The sequence below is a fragment of the Homo sapiens genome, chromosome 16, assembly GCF_000001405.40.
Source record: "Homo sapiens chromosome 16, GRCh38.p14 Primary Assembly".
Classification (NCBI taxonomy): domain Eukaryota; kingdom Metazoa; phylum Chordata; class Mammalia; order Primates; family Hominidae; genus Homo; species Homo sapiens.
Window position 1 is genome coordinate 21775684 of NC_000016.10, and position 20062 is coordinate 21795745.

At 42.6% G+C, this 20062-nt stretch overlaps 1 long non-coding RNA gene across 2 annotated transcripts in view, besides 1 other annotated feature; it reads right to left on the minus strand.

Moving 5' to 3' along the window:
* The window catches only part of LOC105371126 (uncharacterized), a 31769-nt gene extending 14362 nt beyond the window's left edge, over window positions 1-17407 (minus strand). For both annotated transcript variants that reach the window (XR_002957908.2, XR_002957907.2), the window contains exon 1: window positions 15866-17407. This is a non-coding gene — a long non-coding RNA (uncharacterized LOC105371126). The remainder of the gene's footprint in view (window positions 1-15865) is intronic.
* Window positions 14665-15165: an enhancer, noted in NCBI's record as "H3K27ac hESC enhancer chr16:21801669-21802169 (GRCh37/hg19 assembly coordinates)". NCBI's record gives its function as "activates a minimal SCP1, AML or CMV promoter by ChIP-STARR-seq in naive H9 embryonic stem cells {active_cell/tissue: H9 hESC(naive)}" and the evidence as "EXISTENCE:reporter gene assay evidence [ECO:0000049][PMID:30033119]".
* Window positions 17408-20062: the final 2655 nt, after the last annotated feature.

Genomic DNA, 20062 nt, shown 5'->3' on the forward strand with positions numbered 1-20062 from the left:
TGCTAGCACACACTCTGTCTTGCCTTCTTGCTGATACTGAACCTAACTTGGGTCCCCCTGCCCAGCACAGCAAAACCAAACATTGATATTGGGATTGTAGCAAGAGGAAGTAGGGTATTTATTGGAGGGGCACCAAGCAAAGATAATTAGTTAATGCTTAAGTCCCAAGCTCCCGGATGGCTTATAGGTAAGGATTTGTAATTGCAGGAAGGCAGAGGTTACATGCAAAGTTATAAATCAATATATGGGAGGCTCTACATTGGTTTGACCTAAAAAGGCAGGACGTCTCAAAGTGGGAACCCATGGGTCAAAGGTAGATTTAAAGATGTTTTGATTTGTAATTGGCTTAGGAGGAGAAGCCTTGTCTAAAAATTTGAGATCAGTGGAATGTTAGTTCTGGCCTGGGGTGTGACTTCCTCTACTCCCCTTAGGAAGAAATTTAGAACTGAGAAAAGTGTTAAGAGTTTAGCCTTCAGGTCCCCCTTATCTGAGTTGTGTTGCTGGACCTTGTGTGTTGCTGGACCCATTTAGTGGGGAGTCCTCATTTTTGAAAAACAATCTATGAACATTAGTTTTTATAGGGAAGCCAAACATCCCATGATTTTAACTTTTTTGCCCATTATTCTAAGCTACTATTATCTTCTTGCTTATTAAGTTGTTTATTGATGTATTTATTTATTTCTGAGACAGAGTCTTTCTCCATTGCCCAGGCTGGAGTGCAATGGCATGATCTCGGCTCACTGCAACCTCCACCTCCTGGGTTCAAGTAATTCTCCTGCTTCAGCCTCCTGAGTAGCTGGGACTACAGGCATGCGCCACCACTCCTGGCTAATTTTGTATTTTCAGTAGAGATGGGGTTTTGTCATGTTGGCCAAGCTGTTCTTGAACTCCTGACTTCAAGTGATCCAACTGCCTCGGCTTCCCAAAGTGCTAGGATTACAGGCATGAGCCCCCGTGCCCGGCCTTATTTATTTTTTAAGGGCTAGCTAAGTGCCTGGAATTTTTCTTAAAGGAACTTAAGATTTTTCTTTATTTCTATGTTTGAGGGTGGGAGTGCTGCATGTCCCTAAGAGAGGTCCCTGTTCTGCCTCATTGCCTGCTTGCTCTGATAAATCAAGCTGTTGTGTTGTGAGCTGCCCTTCGGAGAGGCCCACGTGGCAAGGATCTGAAAGCGGCTTCTGACAACAGTTCATGGGAAACGAATCCTGCCAATAATCATGTGGGTGCACTTGGAAGTGGATCCTGCCCCAGTTGAGTCTTGAGATGAGACCTAGCTTACACCTAGATAGCAACCCATGGGAGACCCTGAAGCAGGGGGCCCATCTTCGAATTCCTAACCCACAGAAACTGTGAGATAATAAATGTGTTGTTTTAAGCCACTGAGTTTTGGAATAATTTGTTACACAGCAATAGATAGCCGATATAGCAGTGTAGACTTTAGTTGATGATTCCGGTGGGGAGACCAAAGTGAAATTTACATTGCACACTTCACAAAAAGTAACTAACTAACCAACCCATCAGTCATTTCTGTGCTTCCTCAGCCCTCTCAATGCTGAGGGCTCCTCTTTCTTGCTCTTGTTCTCTCTCAATATCATTTTCTAATTTGGCCATGTCTAGCTTCATTGCATATTATCTTTCTCTGGATTGTCAGTTTTTTCTGTGTCCATTTTGGCAGAGAATTTTAGTTTTTTATGATTTTTTTTCTTTAGAGATGGAGTCTCACTCTGTTGCCCAGGCTGGCCTCAAAGTCCTGGGCTTAAGCAATCCTCCCCACTTGGCCTCCCAGAGTGCTGGGATTACAGGCATGAGCCATCACACCTGGCCCTTTCTACTTCTACTCCCAAACGTGTTGGCCAACTCCTCAAGGTATTCAGCAGGAAAAAATCCTCTCTATTAATGCAGCGCACATTTCCTGGGCAGCAGTGTGGGTTATAGATACATGAAATATCTATTACATAAGTCTCTCAGCTTCTTCCTGCATATATTGCTATTCAACTGCTTAAAGCTATTGAAAAATTCATGCAAACAAAATTTTAATCTAACAGAGAAAATATCTTTGTGACATTGTTCAAATCAAGTTATATCATGTATGAAGGAGAAGCACATTCCACCGAGAAAAGCTTTTTAAACCCTCTGCTTTTTGACATTTTAACCAGTATGTTAGATAAGAAGGCTGGTATGGAAATATAGTTAGCAACATTGTTGGAAAATATAGGCTAGAAAAGAGTTCAAGAATATGTATCCATTGAACTTGATGAAATAATTTTAGAAGCTGAGGCTGTGAAATCTTGACAGCAAAACTGAAGAGACACTGTAGAGTTCCCATTTTGCAGATTTATATTTGGTTGGTTCATGCAGGCAGACTCCAGGAGAACTAAGACTTTGTTAAGTACCTAACACATACCCAGTAAGAAGGATAAATGTAGGTGTTCACATCAGGGTTTTAAACACGTGATCCAATAAATCAGCAAAAAGGCAGCAAAGCAATTGTAGTAATGGTTAAAAAAAAAAAAAAAGGAGTGGGGAAGACTTCAGGAGCAGGAATTGTATAAAAATACATCCAAATGTGGCTATTTCTGACTACTTCATTTAAATGTGAGCCTCTATCCGTTCTCACCTGGATTCCAGCAAGAACTTCCTAGCAGTTTTCTCTGTTTGAGATTTGCTTTCTTGGGGTCTATTTTCAACAAGGCAACTGGAATAATACTTAAAAAAAAAAGTATCAGGCTGGGCACGGGGGCTCATGCCTGTAATCTTGGTACTTTGGGAGGCTGAGGTAGGAAGGATCACTTGAGGTCAGGAGTTTGAGACCAGCCTGGGCAACATAGCTAGACTCTGTCTTTACAATACATAAATAAATAAGTAAATACATACATTAGTCAGGTGTGGTGGCACATGCGTGTAGTCCCAGCTGCTTGGGAGGCTGAGGTGGGAGGATCACTTGAGCCTGGGAGGTTGAGGCTGCAGGGAGATGTGTCCCTGCCACTGCATTCCAGCCTGAGTGACAGAGTGAGACCCTGTCTCCAATCTCTCTCTCTCTCTTCTATCTTCTATTTAATTTATCTATCTATCTATACACACACACGAAGTATCAGAACATTATTCATGATAGCCAAAAGGTTAAAAAAACCCCAAATGTCCATTAGCTGAATGGATAGTTAAATTGTTGTACAGTATATCCATACAATGAAACATTACTTGGCAATTTAAAAAATGAAGTATGAGTAGTCATATTTATAGAGACAGAAAGTACAATGGTGGTTGCCATACCAGGGACTGGGGTGGGGTGGGGAATGGGAATTGTTGTTTAATGGGTACAGAGTTTCAGTTTGGAGAGGTGACAAGAGTTCTGGAGATGGATGGTGGGTATGGTTACACAACAGTGTGAATATACTTACTGCCATGAAACGATACACTTGAAAATGGTAAAGATTGTTAAAAAAAAACTCAAAAGGACTGAAGTGCTGATATATGCTACAACATAGACGAACCTTGAAAATCTTATTCTAAGAAGCCAGATGCAAAATGTCACATGTAGTATGATTCCATTGATATGAAATGTTCAGAATAGGCAAATGTATAGAAAGTAGATTAGTGGTTGCCCAAGGCTGGGTAGGGGTTTTGCGGGAAGGGTTGAGAAAATGGGGAGTGATGGCTAATGGGTAAAGACTTAAATGGGTGATGGGATGATAAAAAGTTCTAACGTAGATTACGGGCAGGTGCTGTGGCTCATGCCTGTAATCCCAGCACTTTGGACCCGAGGCAGGTGGATCACTTGAAGCCAGGAGTTTGAGACAAGCGTGGCCAACGTGGTGAAACCCCATCTCTACTAAAAATACAAAACTTAGCCAGGCGTGATGGCACATGCCTGTAATCCTAGTTACTTGGGAGGCCAAAGTGGGAGGATCGCTTGAACTCAGGAGATGGAGGTTGCAGTGAGCTGAGATCACGCCACTGCACTCCAGCTCTGGACAATAGAGCTAGACTCTGTCTAAAAAAAAAAAAAAAATTATAATGATGGTTGTACTACATTGTGAATATATAAAAATCCATTGAATTGTAAACTTTAAATGGGTGAATTTTATGTCAATTAAAGCTATTTTTTAAAAAAGACCTATATGAAAAACTTGAATTTTGGGGAGTTAGTTGTATTAACCAGGCCCTATCCAGTCTTTTTTTCAAAATTAGAGATGGGGGTCTCACTCTGTCACCCAGGCTGGGGTGCAGTGGCGTGATCATAGCTCACTTCAGCTTCCCAAAGAGCTGGGATTACAGGCGGATGCCACAATGTCTGGCTAACTAAAAAAAAATTTTTAAGAGATGAGGGGTCTCACTATGTTGCCCAGGCTGGTCTTCAACTCCTGGCCTCAAGTGATCCTCTCGCCTCAGCTCACAGGCGTGAGCCACCATACCTGGCTTATCTAAGAAAGCCACCATACCTGGCTTATCTTTCTCTCATCTTGAGAAAGAATGAATTCAGTTTGGTTACTGCACATTGAAGAGTAAGCTATCCTCAACATCCAGTAACACACCATAGCCTTTCCAAAGGTAGAAATGGTGATAGGGTCAAATAAGTATTTGTTTCACAGCATTTGAAGAAAAAAAGGCAGATTATGTTATTCCTTTGCTCAAAACCTTCCAGTGGTTTTCCATGTTAATGAGTGGAAACTAAAGTTCTTAAAATTGCCTACAAGGTCCAATACACTCAGTTTCCCACCTGCGACTTGTTTGAGCTTACCCCCTACTTCCTTCAGCCATGCTGACCTTCTCCCCATCCGTCCCATGCCCTGGACCCACTCCTGCCCCAGGCCTTTGCACCTGCTGGCTGTGACCTCCGCCTCCGAAATTGTTTTGCCAAATTCCCTCATAGCTTGCTCACTTATACCTTCTTTAGTTCAAATGTCACTTCTTGGCCACCTGTCTGGCCACCCGCCACGGAAGTGCATTCCTGACATTTTCTGCTTTTCCGCTTTTCTTCCCTCCTTCATTTTTTTCCCATGACACACCTGCACAATACACAGTTTGTTCATTCTTTGGTTCATTGTCTCCTCACACCCACTCAAGAATGTAGTACAAAGGCAGGGATTTTTGTCCATCTTGTTCACCGCTGTATCCTCAGTACCTTTATAATGGTGTTTGGCACATAGTAGTAACTCAATAAGTATTTGTTAAATGAACAAATGAAAAGCTGCCATGTGTTCAAGAAGTCATTGTGTGTTGCATAGGAAAACAGTAGCTGTTAAGGAGATACCAGCATCCTACAAATAGTGGAGGAAAATGCCATGCAAGTTGCCAAATTGATTAAAGTGTGCCTTTTAACTTGTAGACTCCGGAGGGTAGCTTACACAAATATGAACAATTGTTCCCTTATATGTACAATTTGCCCCTGATTTTTCATTCCAGCTGTCACACAATTGCCTGGAGGATATTTTTTTTTTTTTTTTGAGACGGCCGTCACCCAGGCTGGAGTGCAGTGGCATGATCTCGGCTCACTGCAAACTCCACCTCCCAGGTTCACACCATTCTCCTGCCTCAGCCTCCTGGGTAGCTGGGACTACAGGTGCCCGACACCACGCCCGGCTAATTTTTTTGTATTTTTAGTAGAGAGAGGGTTTCACCTTGTTAGCCAGGATGGTCTCGATCTCCTGACCTCATGATCCGCCCACCTCGGCCTCCCAAAGTGCTGGGATTATAGGCGTGAGCCACCGCGCCCGGCCGAGGATTGTTAAACATCATTTAATAAGTGGGTCTTTGCTGCCCTTCTCCCAGGAATAGAGTGTATAGAGTTGCCCATGTGAGAAGCAGCCAAAGCCCAGGTCAGCACCTGCAATGAGGAGTGGCTGCCTGGTTGAATGGAGCGGGGCTTCTGTTTGAAACCTCACTGGTTTTCTCTGTTGACAGCATCTTGATATATATGGCATGTGTCTCCTGACCTTAGTGGCCTCTCACAAAACTCTGGAGCATAACAGTGCATCTCTTTGAGATTCTCTTAGCAGCATAGTCCATAGGTGAATTCTCTATGGACTATGTGTCTTATATTTTAAACCAATTTAAACCAAACCCATCACAAAAGTACCCTCCAACTTTGGTGAAAACCTGTCCAGCCATTTTCTTATGATATTGTAAGACAGAAACTTAATTTTTTTTTTGGAGACAGTCTTGCCTTGTTGCCCAGGCTGGAGTGCAGTGGTGAGATTTCAGCTCACTGCAACCTCTGCCTCCTGGTTTCAAGCGATTCTTATGCCTCAGCTACCTGAGTAGCTGGGACTGTCGGCACACACCACCACACCCGGATGATTTTTGTATTTTTAGTAGAGACAGGGGTTTCACCATGTTGCCCAGGCTGGTCTTAAACTCCTGGCCTCAAGCAATCCACCCACCTTGGCCTCCCAAAGTGCTAGGATTACAGGCATGAGCCACCACGCCCAGCCTGTATTTTAATCTCCAGGTAAAATAAGAACCAGAAAGACTGGGTCTTGTGTTTGCAGTATGTGGAACTGCAAATTAAGACTTTCAAATAAGGTTGAAGCCCGAGAGACAATGGTAGGTAAGGGATGGGTCTGTGGAGGGCTCTGGACAAAAACCTATGTCTACCCACAATTGGTATGCAGATTATCTTGAGTAGTTGGGATTACAGGTGCCTGTCACCATGCCTGGCTAAGTTTTGTATTTTTAGTAGAGATAGGGTTTCACCATGTGGCCAAGCTGTTCTCAAACTCCTGACCTCAAGTGATCCACCTGCCTTAGCCTCCCAAAGTGCTGGGATTACAGGCATGAGCCACCACATCAGGCCTAGAAATGGTATTTAAGGTTTACTTATCTGATAACCTGATTTCCTCCCTAGAGAAAGAATTAAATTGTTTTTAGCTGATTGAATGGGGGCTTGGGTGACATTTCAGGAGAGTTAGAAAGTGTACGTGTATATTTAAAGACTGATTTGTAAGTTGACACTTGAATATATGTAAGAGTAGTCAACTTGGTTTGAAACAGTCTTTTTTATTCTTTTTGGTTTATTGGTAACTGTGAGTTGATTTATCCCTAAAATAGTTCAAAGCCTTTTCTGTTTTAGCTCTGGGAATAATGTTTTTCTTCTTTTCAAAGATGTAATATTTCTGTTAACACTATAGAAAGATAAGAAAGATAAGAACCTTCAGGGCTCTTTGAAGACAAAATTGTATTCTGAATTGGGCATTCATTAGACTGAGCGGATAAATCTCTAAATCTGGGTTTTATGATTTTAGGTTTGTTTGTTTAATGGATTTCTTTGCTTAAACTTCAGGTGCATGCATGATAATTTTGAAGAGCAGAGAGATGGACAAATGTGATTTGATTTATAAGTCTTTTCAAAGGCATTTGAAAATGTATTTCAGGTTTAGTTAAGCTTATTTTTCACACTCTTAGTTGAAGGCAGGAGTGATTGTTTTCCTCCCTCCACACCTCGAAAGATGGAATGGTTTTTCACTTATAAATTTTTCCATCTCAGAAAAGGAGGAGCAGAGGTTTTCTAGAAGGGTTAAGAATAAAGGTGGGGAAGGCAAGCCCTTGTTACCATAAGAGCAGGAATCCATACGGAAGAGTGGCTGGTTTAGATTTGCTGGCTTGAGAGTGGATTATTTTATCCAACTCTTGATCAGTGTTGTGAGAATTAAGTAAGATAATGGATTTAAGGGGCTTAGAAGTGTCCAATCAATGTTAGCTACTGTTGTTATTCTCAGTACTACCTGTAGGCTTGATGGATATATTTGGAGACATTTGTACCAAGGGTTATGGGGCAATAAGTGCGTGGTTCACCATTTGGCCCAGTGAACTTTTCAGGACTTAGGATGAGGAAGGCGGGAAAAGCCCTGGGGCTGGCAGGTTTAGAGGGAGACTCTTGCATTATGGTCCTGAGAGCCCCAGGATAGGAGATGACCTTTATCACAAGATCTGAGAACTGCTGCTATCTCGGGCTTCTGGGATAATGAGCTGGAAGCTCACACTCTGACAATGGAGGGATTTTTTTTTTTTTTTGATGGAGTCTTGCTCTGTCACCCAGGCTGGAGTGCAGTGGCGTGATCTCGGCTCACTGCAAGCTCCGCCTCCCGGGTTCTTGCCATTCTCCTGCCTCAGCTTCCCGAGTAGCTGGGACTGCAGGTGCCCGCCACCATGCCTGGCTAATTTTTTGTATTTTTAGTAGAGACGGGGTTTCACTGTGTTAGTCAGGATGGTCTCAATCTCCTGACCTCGTGATCCACCCTCCCCGGCCTCCCAAAGTGCTGGGATTACAGGCATGAGCCACCGTGCCCGGCCCAATGGAGGGATTTTTTATAGCATTATGTCTACCTGGCTTTTCATATGACTTGTGTCCTGCTCATGCAGCTTTGATGACTTCTGAAGTACAGATGTTCCTTGACTTACAATGAGGTTGCATCTCAATAAACCCACTGTAACTTGAAAATATCTTAAGTAAAACTTGCTTTAATACACCTAACCTACTGAACATCATAGCTTAGCCTAGCCTACCTTAAACATGCTTAGAACACTTACATTAGCCTAAGGTTGGGCAAAATCATCTAAAATAAAGCCTGTTTTATAATAAAGTGTTGAATATCTCACATAATTCATTGAACATTGTACTGAAGGGGCAAACCAGAATGGTTGTATGGGTACTTGAAGTACAGTTTCTACTGAATGCACATTGTTTTTGCACCATTGTAAAGCTGAAAAATTGTAGATTTAACCAATGTAAGTTGGAGACCATCTGTGTTTTGTTCCTCCTTAAAGCATACAAAAGTGTAGCCAAAGAGTGTTTCAAAGCTGGATTACATAATGAATTATTATTATTTTTTTTTGAGATGAAGTCTCGCTTTGTTGCCCAGGCTGGAATACAGTGGCGTGAGCTCGCCTGACTGCAACCTCCGTCTCCTGGGTTCAAGCGATTCTCCTGCCTCAGCCTCCCGAGTAGCTGGGATTACAGGCATGCCTGGAATTACAGGCACACGTCACCACACCCAGCTAATTTTTGTATTTCTAGTAGAGACAGGGTTTCGTCATGTTGGTCAGGCTGGTCTCAAACTCCTGACCTCAAATGATCTACCCGCCTTGGCCTCCCAAAGTGCTGGGTTTACAGGTGTGAGCCACTGCACCTGGCTGAAAATCCAGATTTTTGTCCAAGATTGCAGAATAAATTGCCTGGGACAAGTCAATGAGTGAGGAGAGATAAGTCAATGGACTGAGAAGGGGTAAACTCAGTCTTGCATAAACAGAATACAGAGGGGATTTGGGTGGATGGGGAGCAGTGAGTGAATGGGCAAAGATAGGACAAAACCAAGCCCACTTAAAGAACAATAATATTACAAAGGACAAAGTTGAGAATAAGAGGCAAAGGGAGGAAATTTAAAAAGCACATTTTTGAGCACTGACTAGTGATGCTTTCCCTGCATAATCTCATTTAACCAGTTTAACAACCTTAAAAAGGAAGTAGTAGTGTTCTTATTTCATAGATGAGGAAACTGAGGCTTGGAGACAGGAGAAATGTTCAGAGAAGACTGTTTCTAAAAGGGTATGTGGTTAGCTATATTCTAAACATTCTTGATACCTCCCCCAACCCCCCTGCCCTTGAATAGTCACTGTCTTCCCAGCCATCATCTATTCTACCTTCAAAACATATCCCCAGTTCATCCACTGCTTCCCATTTCCTGCATTGTCACCCTAGACTACCACTGCGTCTCAACATATACAGCCTCTCGATTCTCCTATTTCCTAATCTGCCTTCTGCTTAAATTGTTCTTTCAACAAAATCCAGAGAAACCCCAAACAAGTGCACATCTGATAAAGATACTGCCCTCATTAAAACCCTCAAAGGCTCCCTTGCAATTACTTTAAGAATCTCAAGTGCTCATGCTGGCCTGCAAGACCCAGCATGACCTTGTCCCTGCCAGCCTTTCTGGTTACATCTTCTTCATCATCTCCTTCATCCCGGTGCCCCACCAATGCAGTCCTTTCATGTCTCTAACTGCATCCTCGCTTTCCTTCTCCGTGGTCTTTACTCATGCTCTCCTTGCTACTTAAAATACTTTCTTTCCACTTTGCACTGACAAAGTGACTTGTCTTACAGTTCTCACTTTAAACATCACTTTTCTAACTTTCCAAATTAAGCCTCCTGTACTTATTAAGAGTGGCATATTTTTCTTTGGGACACTTCACAATATAGAATTATGTACTTGTTTGTGTGATAATTTTTTTTTTTTTTTGAGTTGGAGTTTCGCTCTTGTTGCCCAGGCTGGAGTGCAATGGTGCGATCTCAGCTCATTGCAACCTCTGCCTCCCCGGTTCAAGCAATTCTCCTGCCTCAGCCTCCCAAGTAGCTTGGATCACAGGCATGCACCACCATGCCTAGCTAATTTTGTATTTTTAGTAAAGATGGGGTTTCACCATGTTAGTCAGCCTGGTCTTGAACTCCTACTCCTGACCTCAGGTGATCCACCTGCCTCGGCCTCCCAAAGTGCTGGGATTACAGGTGTGAGCCACCATGCCCGGCCTGTGTGATAATTTGTTTAACATCTATATCTCCCTAGTAGACTATAGCTCCACCTGGTGAAGGAGTGTGTTTTTATTGCTCACTATTGTATTTCCAGGGCCTCATGAAGTGCTGCCAGGTAAATAGGCCCTCCATAAATATTTATTGAATGAATACGTGAATGAATGAATGAATGAACTGCACCTAGGATTGCTGACAATTCTGGCTTTTGGGACTTTAGTGTCATTTTTCATTTACTTTCTTAAAGAGCAGTAAGTTTAAACTTATACTTTCACCTAGAAGACAGAAGAGTTTTTGAAGCAAAACCTTGAAGCTCGTGACGTGTGCCACGTAATGAATGGATGTCCACCCAATTCAAAGTCCCTGTGTTGTGATCTGACATGACCTCTGAGCTTGCCACAATGAACTTGACCACAAAGACACTGCGTGCACTGCCAACCACAACTAGCAATTGAGTAGCAAGCAGTGGTGTCAATCTTAAAAGCCTAAGATATTCTTAGATGCTTATTTTTATAATCAGTTTTATTATAGAGTTGCTAAAATGGGCCCAAACCATATGTCTCTCCATCGAGAAAAGTCAGCACTGACTGCATGAAACAAAACACTTGCAGAGACATTGAAAAGCCACTTGTTTGACTTTGGAAATAGAGCGCTAGTATTTTTTGCAACTCAAAAGACAAGCCTTGTCTTGGAGCAGTACAAGGAGAAGTGCAATCAAACCAATAGATAAAAAATCATTTGTCTCTTCATTCGAGGTCGGTTTAGAATCACTATGAAAGGTATATGCAATAATAGAAAGCCTGGTGAAGCCCGGAGCTGCAGAAAAGGGTTGAAATTATTTTGGGTCAAAAAGAGGCAGCCAAGTTGAAAAAGGTGCCCTTATTGAGTGACACCATCAAATGGGTTCAAAAGACGTGCTTGAAAATTGGTGGAGAGTCCCAGAGGCAGCTAGTTCTTTACATTTTGATGAAAGGGGGAGACATCCATGACTTGGCTATTTTGCCATCTTTAAAATAATGAAGTCTAAGAAGGTATGCTGATTTTCCCAATGCTGAATGGTATAGCAGCTGGTGAATTTTCAATAAGATACACTTTTCTCCTGTTCTAGCAAGTTTTGATATTTGCCATTTGGTTCCAGAAACTTATTGTGTCTATGTTCCTAAAGCACTTTGACTCTGAGAGAGAGGACAAACTGAACCTGATATATGATGTTTGTGCCCCTTGACGGAGGCTGAATTTTCTGAACTTGAATGATCAATACAACAGTGTCTTGCTAAAAATTGTCTCGCAGAAAATTTTTCATTCATTTTTCTTGATGGCAAGTAATGTATTCCTTCATCAGAACAATTAAACATCTTTAATGATTTTTAAAGACAGGGTGTAATTACATGCACATGATAAAAATTTAAGCAGCACCAAGGGCGTACAGTGAAAATTAAGTCTCTTTCCTGACTGGAGATCATAGTATGAGTGTTTCATGGCTCCTTTCAGAGAGATTCCATGTCTAGCATTTATACATGCACATAAATTCATTTCCTTTTTAAAATTAACACAAATGACAGCATGCTGTATTCTCTCTCTTTTAAAACATTGAGATGGGGTCAGGCGCGGTGGCTCACGCCTGTAATCCCACACTTTGGGAGGCCGAGGCAGGCAGATCTCCTGAGATCGGGAGTTCAAGACCAGCCTGACTAACATGGAGAAACCCCGTCTCTACTAAAAATACAAAATTAGCCGGGCGTGGTGGCACGCACCTGTAATCCCAGCTACTCAAGAGGCTGAGGCAGGAGAATTGCTTGAACCCAGGAGGCGGAGGTTGTGGTGAGCCGAGACTTTGCCATTGCACTCCAGCTTGGACAACAAGAGTGAAACACCATCTCAAAAAAAAAAAAAAAAATTGAGGTGAAATTCACATAGCAAAATTAGCCACTTTAAAGTGTACAATTCGGTGACATTTTACTCCATTCACACTGTTGTTCGGTTATCACTTCTGCCTAGTCCCAAAACGTTATGTTCTCTTTTGCAATTTACTATTGCTCTTTCACTTAAAAATCTATCATGGAGATTGTTCCATACTAATACATATAGATTCATGTCTTCCATCTTCATCCTATGGGTAACCCTTGTGCCAGACCTGGAGATGAGCTGCTCAGATCCTCCTTAAACAAAGGCTCTCTGTCCAGCTGTGGGGAGTGAGGAGCTGATAGCCTTAACCTGGCAGCTCTTTCAGGGTCCCCTTAGCTGTTAAGTCATGGTCATGCTCTTCTTGGAGTGGCTCCCATCCAGTGACTGAGGGTACAAGGGCCTGACCATTTCTCTAACAGGCAATCTTTGCTGCCTTCTGAAATGGTGGTAGCTCTAAATTGTGCTCTAATGGCCCCTCCTGCCCAATCCTATCTCTTCTGCTTTTCTGGCAGAGGTGTTACTCCCTAATGAATCTTTTGCATTCTATCCGGGCATGCGCTTCTCGGAGAACCCAACCAACATGTACAGTATCTCATGTACACAGTCTTCTAAGGATTGACACTGAGGTTGCTTCTGGATTTTTGCAATTACAGATAGTGCTGGATACAAATCTTTGCAAATATACCTTGCACGCATGCATGAGAATATCTGGAGAATAAATTCCTAGGGTCTAATTGTGGGTCTATTTAAATTTTGCATAAAAATTTGATACATGTTTTCTAACCACCTGCTCCTCCCAAGAGGTTGCACCAGCTTACAGTCCCACCAATCAGGGAAGAGGGATTTTTTTTTTTTTTTTTTTTTTTTTGGGACAGGGTCCGGTCCTGCCACCCAGGCTAGAATACAGTGGCGTGATCATGGCTCATGGCAACCTGGTCTTCCCCAGTTCAAGCAATCCTCCCGCCTCAGCCTCCCCAGTAGCTGGGATGATAGCCGCATGCCACCACACCCAGCTAATTTATATTTTACTTTTTGTAGAGACAGAGTCTCACTATGTTGCCTAGGTGGATCTTGAATTCCTGAGCTCAAGCGATCCTCCCACTTTAGCCTCCCAAAGCTCTGGGATGACAGGTGTGAGCCACCATGCCCTGCCTGAGAATTGTCTTCTCACACCCTTGTTAATAGAACTATTATCACATTTTAAAATGTTCTCAATTTTGTAGGTGAAAATATGTCATAGTAGTTTTAATTTGCTTTTATTTTATGATGAGTGAGGTTGATTGTATTTTCAACTCCTTAAAAATGATGACAAGCAAATGAAAACTATTTCATACTAAAACAAGCAGAGAAGATAAACATTTGCCATGGAATCTTGAGATAAAACACAATGCTTTAAAGAAATCCTCCGCTTGTAGAGGGCTACTTTGTGCTAAATTTCCATACATCTTTTGGCACAAATTCTCCTTCCTATTAAGAAAACTGTGATAGAAAAATTTGAGAAGTCCCGCATATTGATGTAAGATTTTCTTAAAGTACAGGAGGAAAGGTGTCTACCTGTATAAGGGATTTCCTGAGTACTGAATCTATTAGGTTTGGACATTAAGCATGTCATAATTTAATATGTATAATGAGTTAAAATGATTTTTTTCGGGAGTTGTTGTGAGTTGGCAATTAGAATGTTTTAATTCCTACCATTGGTTACACTCTGTCAGGCTCCATGAGATAAAGGTAATGGCAGAAATAATTACGTTTCCTGTTTTCCCAAATGAGTCTAAGGAGGAACCAGGGCAGGGAAGGCTAAGCTCCCATTTCAAATGTAACAGCTGTGAGTGCAAAGGACCAGTGGGGAATTTGTCCTGTCTGATGACAGGGGCAAGTTGAGGTGACATAGGAAAGGAATATCATAACATTCTGAGCTTTGGTCACAGACCAAGGCTATATCTATTAATTAATGGTCTATTTATTTTTATTTTTATTTATTTTTTTGAGACAGAGTCTCACTCTGTTACCCAGGCTGGAGTGCAGTGGCATGATCTCGGCTCACTGCAACCTCCCCCTCCTGGGTTCAAGCAATTCTCCCGGCTTAGCCTCGTGGGTAGGTGGGATTACAGGTGCACAACACCACGTCCGGCTAATTTTTGTATTTTTAGTGGAGACAGGGTTTTGCCATGTTGGCCAGGTTGGTCTCAAACTCCTGACCTCAAGTGATCCACCCGCCTTGGGCACCCACAGTGTTGGGATTACAGGTCTGTATCTATTCCATTTGGATGATGTTTTGAGACTCATTTTGCTTCTTTGTCTCCCTTAGGAGCAGGAGACTTGGTGAGGTATATTGATTAGACTAGAGGGTAGGCTGCTGTCACAAAGAAGCCCTAAAATGCAGTGCTTCAAAAATATGATTAGGACTTATGTTTTTCTCATGTTATAATCCAGGTGGGCCCAGGGTTGGATAGGTAGCTTGGTTCTGTGAACTCGTCTAGGGACTTGGGTTCCTTCTGTCTTATTGCTTAGTCATCTCCTGGAGTTTGTTTTTATTCATGTGACTGAAGCTGACTCACCAGCATCACATGCATGTTCTGGCTCATTGGAAGGGTGAAAGAGAGGAAGTGGAGGACCAGCAGTTCCCTTTTTAGGAAAGTGATGAAGATACTGACACATCACTTGCACTCACATTCTGTTCATGAGAATTTAGTCACAAGGCCACATCCAGTTGCAAGGGAAGCTGAGAAGTGAGATCCCAGTAGGGTGACCACATGCCCTGTTAAAACTCCATGGGAGGGTATAAATGGAAGAAGAGAGGATAAATTTTGGAGGACAATTAGCCATCGATGCCACATGGACTCAGAGCCTGGCAGAATTATGATCCAAGAAAGGCAATAGGTCTACGTCTATCATTAGCCACATCCATTCCAAACCTCCTGAACTGGCACCACAAGTGGGCAAGATAGTGGCAGGGGAGAAGGTAGCACCACTTTCTTCTTTGATCCTTCAAATAGGCCAGAATCTGTTATCAAGGGTGCCCAGTTAACTAACTTGGAAGCCATTCAGTCATTCGACAGATAATTAATGGAGCATCTGCTATGTGTCTGGCATTGCCTAGGCACTGGGTGCAGGGATGTCCTTGTGGAGTTTCTAGGAGAGTGGAGGAGGTAGATGTTTAACAACAAAGAACTTTGCTAGATATATAATTACAAATTATGACAAATGCCATGAAGGAAAGAGTAGAGGATTCTGTGAAGAACTTGAGATATGGATTTCATTCATATTAGAGATAGAGGGAGGTCTTGGAGGGAGTATTTAAGCTGAGATCTAAAAGATGTGCTGGAATTGGCTGGTGGATGATGAAAGGGAAATAATGGTCTAGGTAGACTGTCTTAGTCCATTCAGGCTGCCGTAACAAAATGCCATAGGCTGGGTAGCTTATAAACAATAGAAACTTACTGCTCACAGTTCTGGAGGCTGGGAATTCCAAGATCAAGGCATTGGCAAACTCGTATCTGGCAAGGGCCTGCTTCTTTTTTCACTGTATCTTCACATGGCAGAAGCAGCAAATGAGCTCTCTGGGTTCTCTTTTATAAGGTTACTAATCCCATTCATGAGGGCTCCACCCTCATGACCTGATCACCTACCAAAGATTTACCTTCTAATACCATTACCTTGGAGATTAGGATTTTGACATGAATTTTGGGACACAGACTATAACACAGAGGAATTAGAATAGTAAATGAGAAGAGAAAGAAATTGTGTGGCTGGAGAGAGAGGCAGCATAGTTTTTCTATAGACTTGTAGGCCTATATGTATCAGAGAGCTATTGTTGCATATCAAATTCCCCCAAAAGGTAGTGACTTAAAACAATAGTCCCTTATTACTTCATGATTTGGCAGGCTGGCAGTCTAGGCTAGACTCAGCTGGGAGGCGTTCTGGATCTAGGCTGAGCTCCCTTATGCATCTGGAGTCAGCTGTGGGTCAGCAGATGCCTCTGCTTCTGGGGTAGGCTGGTTGTTGGCTGGGGCACCTCAGCTCTCTTCCACATGGTCTCTCATCCTCCATTAGGCTAGCCCAGGCAGGATTGTTCACATGGTGGCAGGGTTCTAAGAGAAAGTTGCTGCATGCAAAGCCTCTTGAGACTCATGCTTAGAACTGTCACGCCATAATTTCTGCCACATCTATTGGCCAAAGCAAGTCCCATGGCCAGCCTAGATTCAAGGGGTGAGGAAATAGATTTTAACTCTTGATGGGAGGAGCTGCCAAGCCACATTGTAAAGGGGGCAAGATAGAGGGAGGGGTGAATTATCAAGGGCATTTTTGCAACCAGGTAGGAAATTTGTGTGGTTGGAAGTCACAGGAGATTTTTAAGCAGGGACCAGCAATAACAGGGCACATAGCCAAGGTCATTTGTGCTGCACTGTGATGGAAACTTTCAAGAGCTTGTGTCTTACCTTGCCGTTGTGGTTATGAGTTCTTAGGATGCAAAGTCTGCGATGTCCTTTCCCAAGGCTGGACACAGTGCCCATCTGCCAACTCAACTCCCTTGGTTGCAAACAAGAATTGAAAGCTCTGTTTTCAGCACCTCCAGGTTTGCCAGTGAGGTGTTGTTGAGGAGATTTCACACAGACAGCTTAACTTGTTTGGAGTTGTGAAGCTAATACCATCACCACAAGCTGAGCTGTGAAGAATCCCAGACTTGTCTAAATTATAATTTGTTTGTTGGGCCTTAAGGGGGTCTGAAAAGCCTGTTCCAAATTCTTTCTCTCCAACACAAAAGCATATTTACCCAAACTGGCATTTCCCCTTTTGAGCATGTTTTTTTTTCAATGATAGTGTTTTGCCAACTATGGTGTGCTGGTTGTTAAGCTATTGTCTCTCGATGAACCCATGAACCCATCCTTCTAGACTTTTCTCTGCAGTAGCCTCTCTGCTTTCTCTCTCTCTCTCTCTCTTTCTTTCTTTTTCTTTTTTTTGACAGAGTTTCGCTCTTTTTGCCCAGGCTGGAGTGCAATGGTGCGATCTTGGCTCACTGAAACCTCTGCCTCCCAGGTTCAAGTGATTCTCCTGCCTCAGCCTCCCAAGTAGCTGGGATTACAGGCATGCACCACCATGCCTGGCTAATTTTGTGTTTTTAGTAGGGACGAGGTTTCTCCATGTTGGTCAGGCTGGTCTCGAACTCCTGACCTCAGTTGATCCACCCGCCCTGGCCTCCCAAAGTGCTGGGATTACATGTGATAGTTTTTCTATAGCCTTGTAGGCCTATATGGATCAGATAGCTATTGCTGCATACTGAATTCCCTTAAAGGTAGTGGCTTAAAACAATAGTCACTTATTAGTTCATGATTTGGCAGGTTGGCAATTTAGGCTAGACTCAGCTGGGAGGCGTTTGTGTGACCTAGGCTGAGCTTCCTCATCTGCAGTCAGCTGTGGGTCAGCAGATGCCCGTGTGATGTTGGGGTGGTGCTCTGTGGAGCACCTTTTCCCGTCACCAGCCAGATGCTCTGTCATGAGGGAGACTGGAAGGAAGGAAGAAGGGGAAGGGACACCCTCCTTTTTGTTTGCTTGCTTTTCCAGTAGCATCTCTTCAGCAGTGATTCTTTACCCTGGCAAGGGTCATTGATTACAGAGGAAATTGTTCCAGTTTCCAGTTTCTTTCCCTACACTGCTAGAATCAGCCTCAGGAGCTCCCTTAGAGACACCAGCATTGTCAGGGGCCAACCCTCTCCTCATAGGGTCCCAGCTCCTGGTGGTTCCAAACTTCTAGGTTCTAATAACCCCATGCTCTTCCCTTTATTCCTTCAGGACAGTAACTGCTTTACGTAGTTCTTATCTCCTTGTTAACTCAAGGGTTCCCTTTTTTACTTTTTTAGTTCTCCCATACCGTTTAAAAAATTCTGATAAAATAAACTCATGCAGTTTCTGTTGTGTTGCCCAAACCTTGGCTGTTATATATAGTATATAAGATTATTTTAAATGATACCCACTTGAGCACTCAAACAAAAATTTGAATGGGCATTTATTAGTATAATATATATTATGGAAAAATATAATGAATACACAAAACTCATTAGTTCTTGAATATTATTGCTTAAGATTAAAACAATAAATTAAGAATGGGTTAACTTAAAGAACAATATTATGCAAATAGGACGAGTGGAACACAAGCAAAATAGCTGTGGGTGTAGGCTAGCTGCTGGCTGGGGCACTTCAGCTCTCCTCCACGTGGTCTCTCATCCTCCATTAGGCTAGCTTTCGTAGGCTTGTTCACATTGTAGTAGAAAGCATATGCATGCCGGAGAAAGCATATGCATGCAAGAAATTTTGAGAGTACGCTAGTGAGGTATGTCTACCCTGCCCATTACTGTAATAAAATGACCTTTTAGAAGGAAAATCATCTTGATTCCAAAAAAGGATCCCGATAGAGAGATTAGAAAAGTCATAAATTCAGATTTCCTACGTTTCTTTACATTCCCAGGTCCATATATGATGTCACCAGGGTTCCCAACGTAGCAGCCAACCGTGGTCATTCCCCAGCACCTGAACTCTATCCTATAGCTGACTGTTTGCTGGGTTTGAAGGCTGAACTTTACATATTCAGATCAACCAACAGTTGAGAGGGTTGGCTGCCATTTTGAAAGTCATATATAGAAAGAGCTGCACAAAAGCAACCAGTGGAGTCTCCAAAGTTGGGGGCCCACATATTTGTGTTTCATCATCATGGTGTTGCTGAGCTCTGAGTTGCTTTCTGGGCGGCAGTCTGGAGGTCAAATACCAGACCTGGGAAGACTGTGTAGCGAGGTTGGAGAGGGAGTTGGGGAGGCTTGAGGAGCCACTCAAATATCTTACCTGTAGCTGACAAGGCACAACCCGTAATGACATCCTGTTCTCAGAACTCTAATGCTATTTTTTTTTTGCTTTCATGACAAGGAGTTGAGGTAGTTATCTTTGTTCCAAGCAACTCCAGATGGGTGAAAGTCAACCCACACAGTCTGGAAAGGATACTAATCCTTCAAATCAGAGACTTCACAAGAAGCACAGAGGTGGCCAGGCCTAATGAGGTTACCCCAGTGGAAACTGTGAACCCAAAATGTGACTTCTGGATTATGTGCAAATGAGTAGAAAAGTGCAGCCCACTAAGTGGGGACCTGGCATTAGACAGTTGTCTCTGGAAACACTTCAGCAAAGGCTAAGTGGGGAACGTGTCCCTCCATGACTGACACTCAGTGTCATAGCTTTAATTTTATTTCACTTCTGAGAGGAAAGTTGACATAGGTGAGCTACAGATGGAAAGGAAGGGGATATGAAGAACGATTTCTCTTTTACCTAAATGTGACAGCAAAAATTTTTCAATTTATACATTCAGTCCTTCACAGAGACTTCTTAATCTTCAGAGAGATTGTGATGTGCTGAAATTTTCTGGTTGAATGTTTTCCTTTAGGAATGGTGGTTCAGAGATAGAGGCAAAACCAATTGAGAACCACAATTTTTCTAAGATAGCTAACAGTTCCACTTGAAATGATCAATATGATATAGAAAAAAATGGTTCTTTGGTTTCTGCACTGATTTTAATCTTTTTGGAATTTTTTTATACACAGTGTCTTAAAAAGGACCAGGTTTGCTATTTATTGATAGATCTTCCTGAATGTCTCA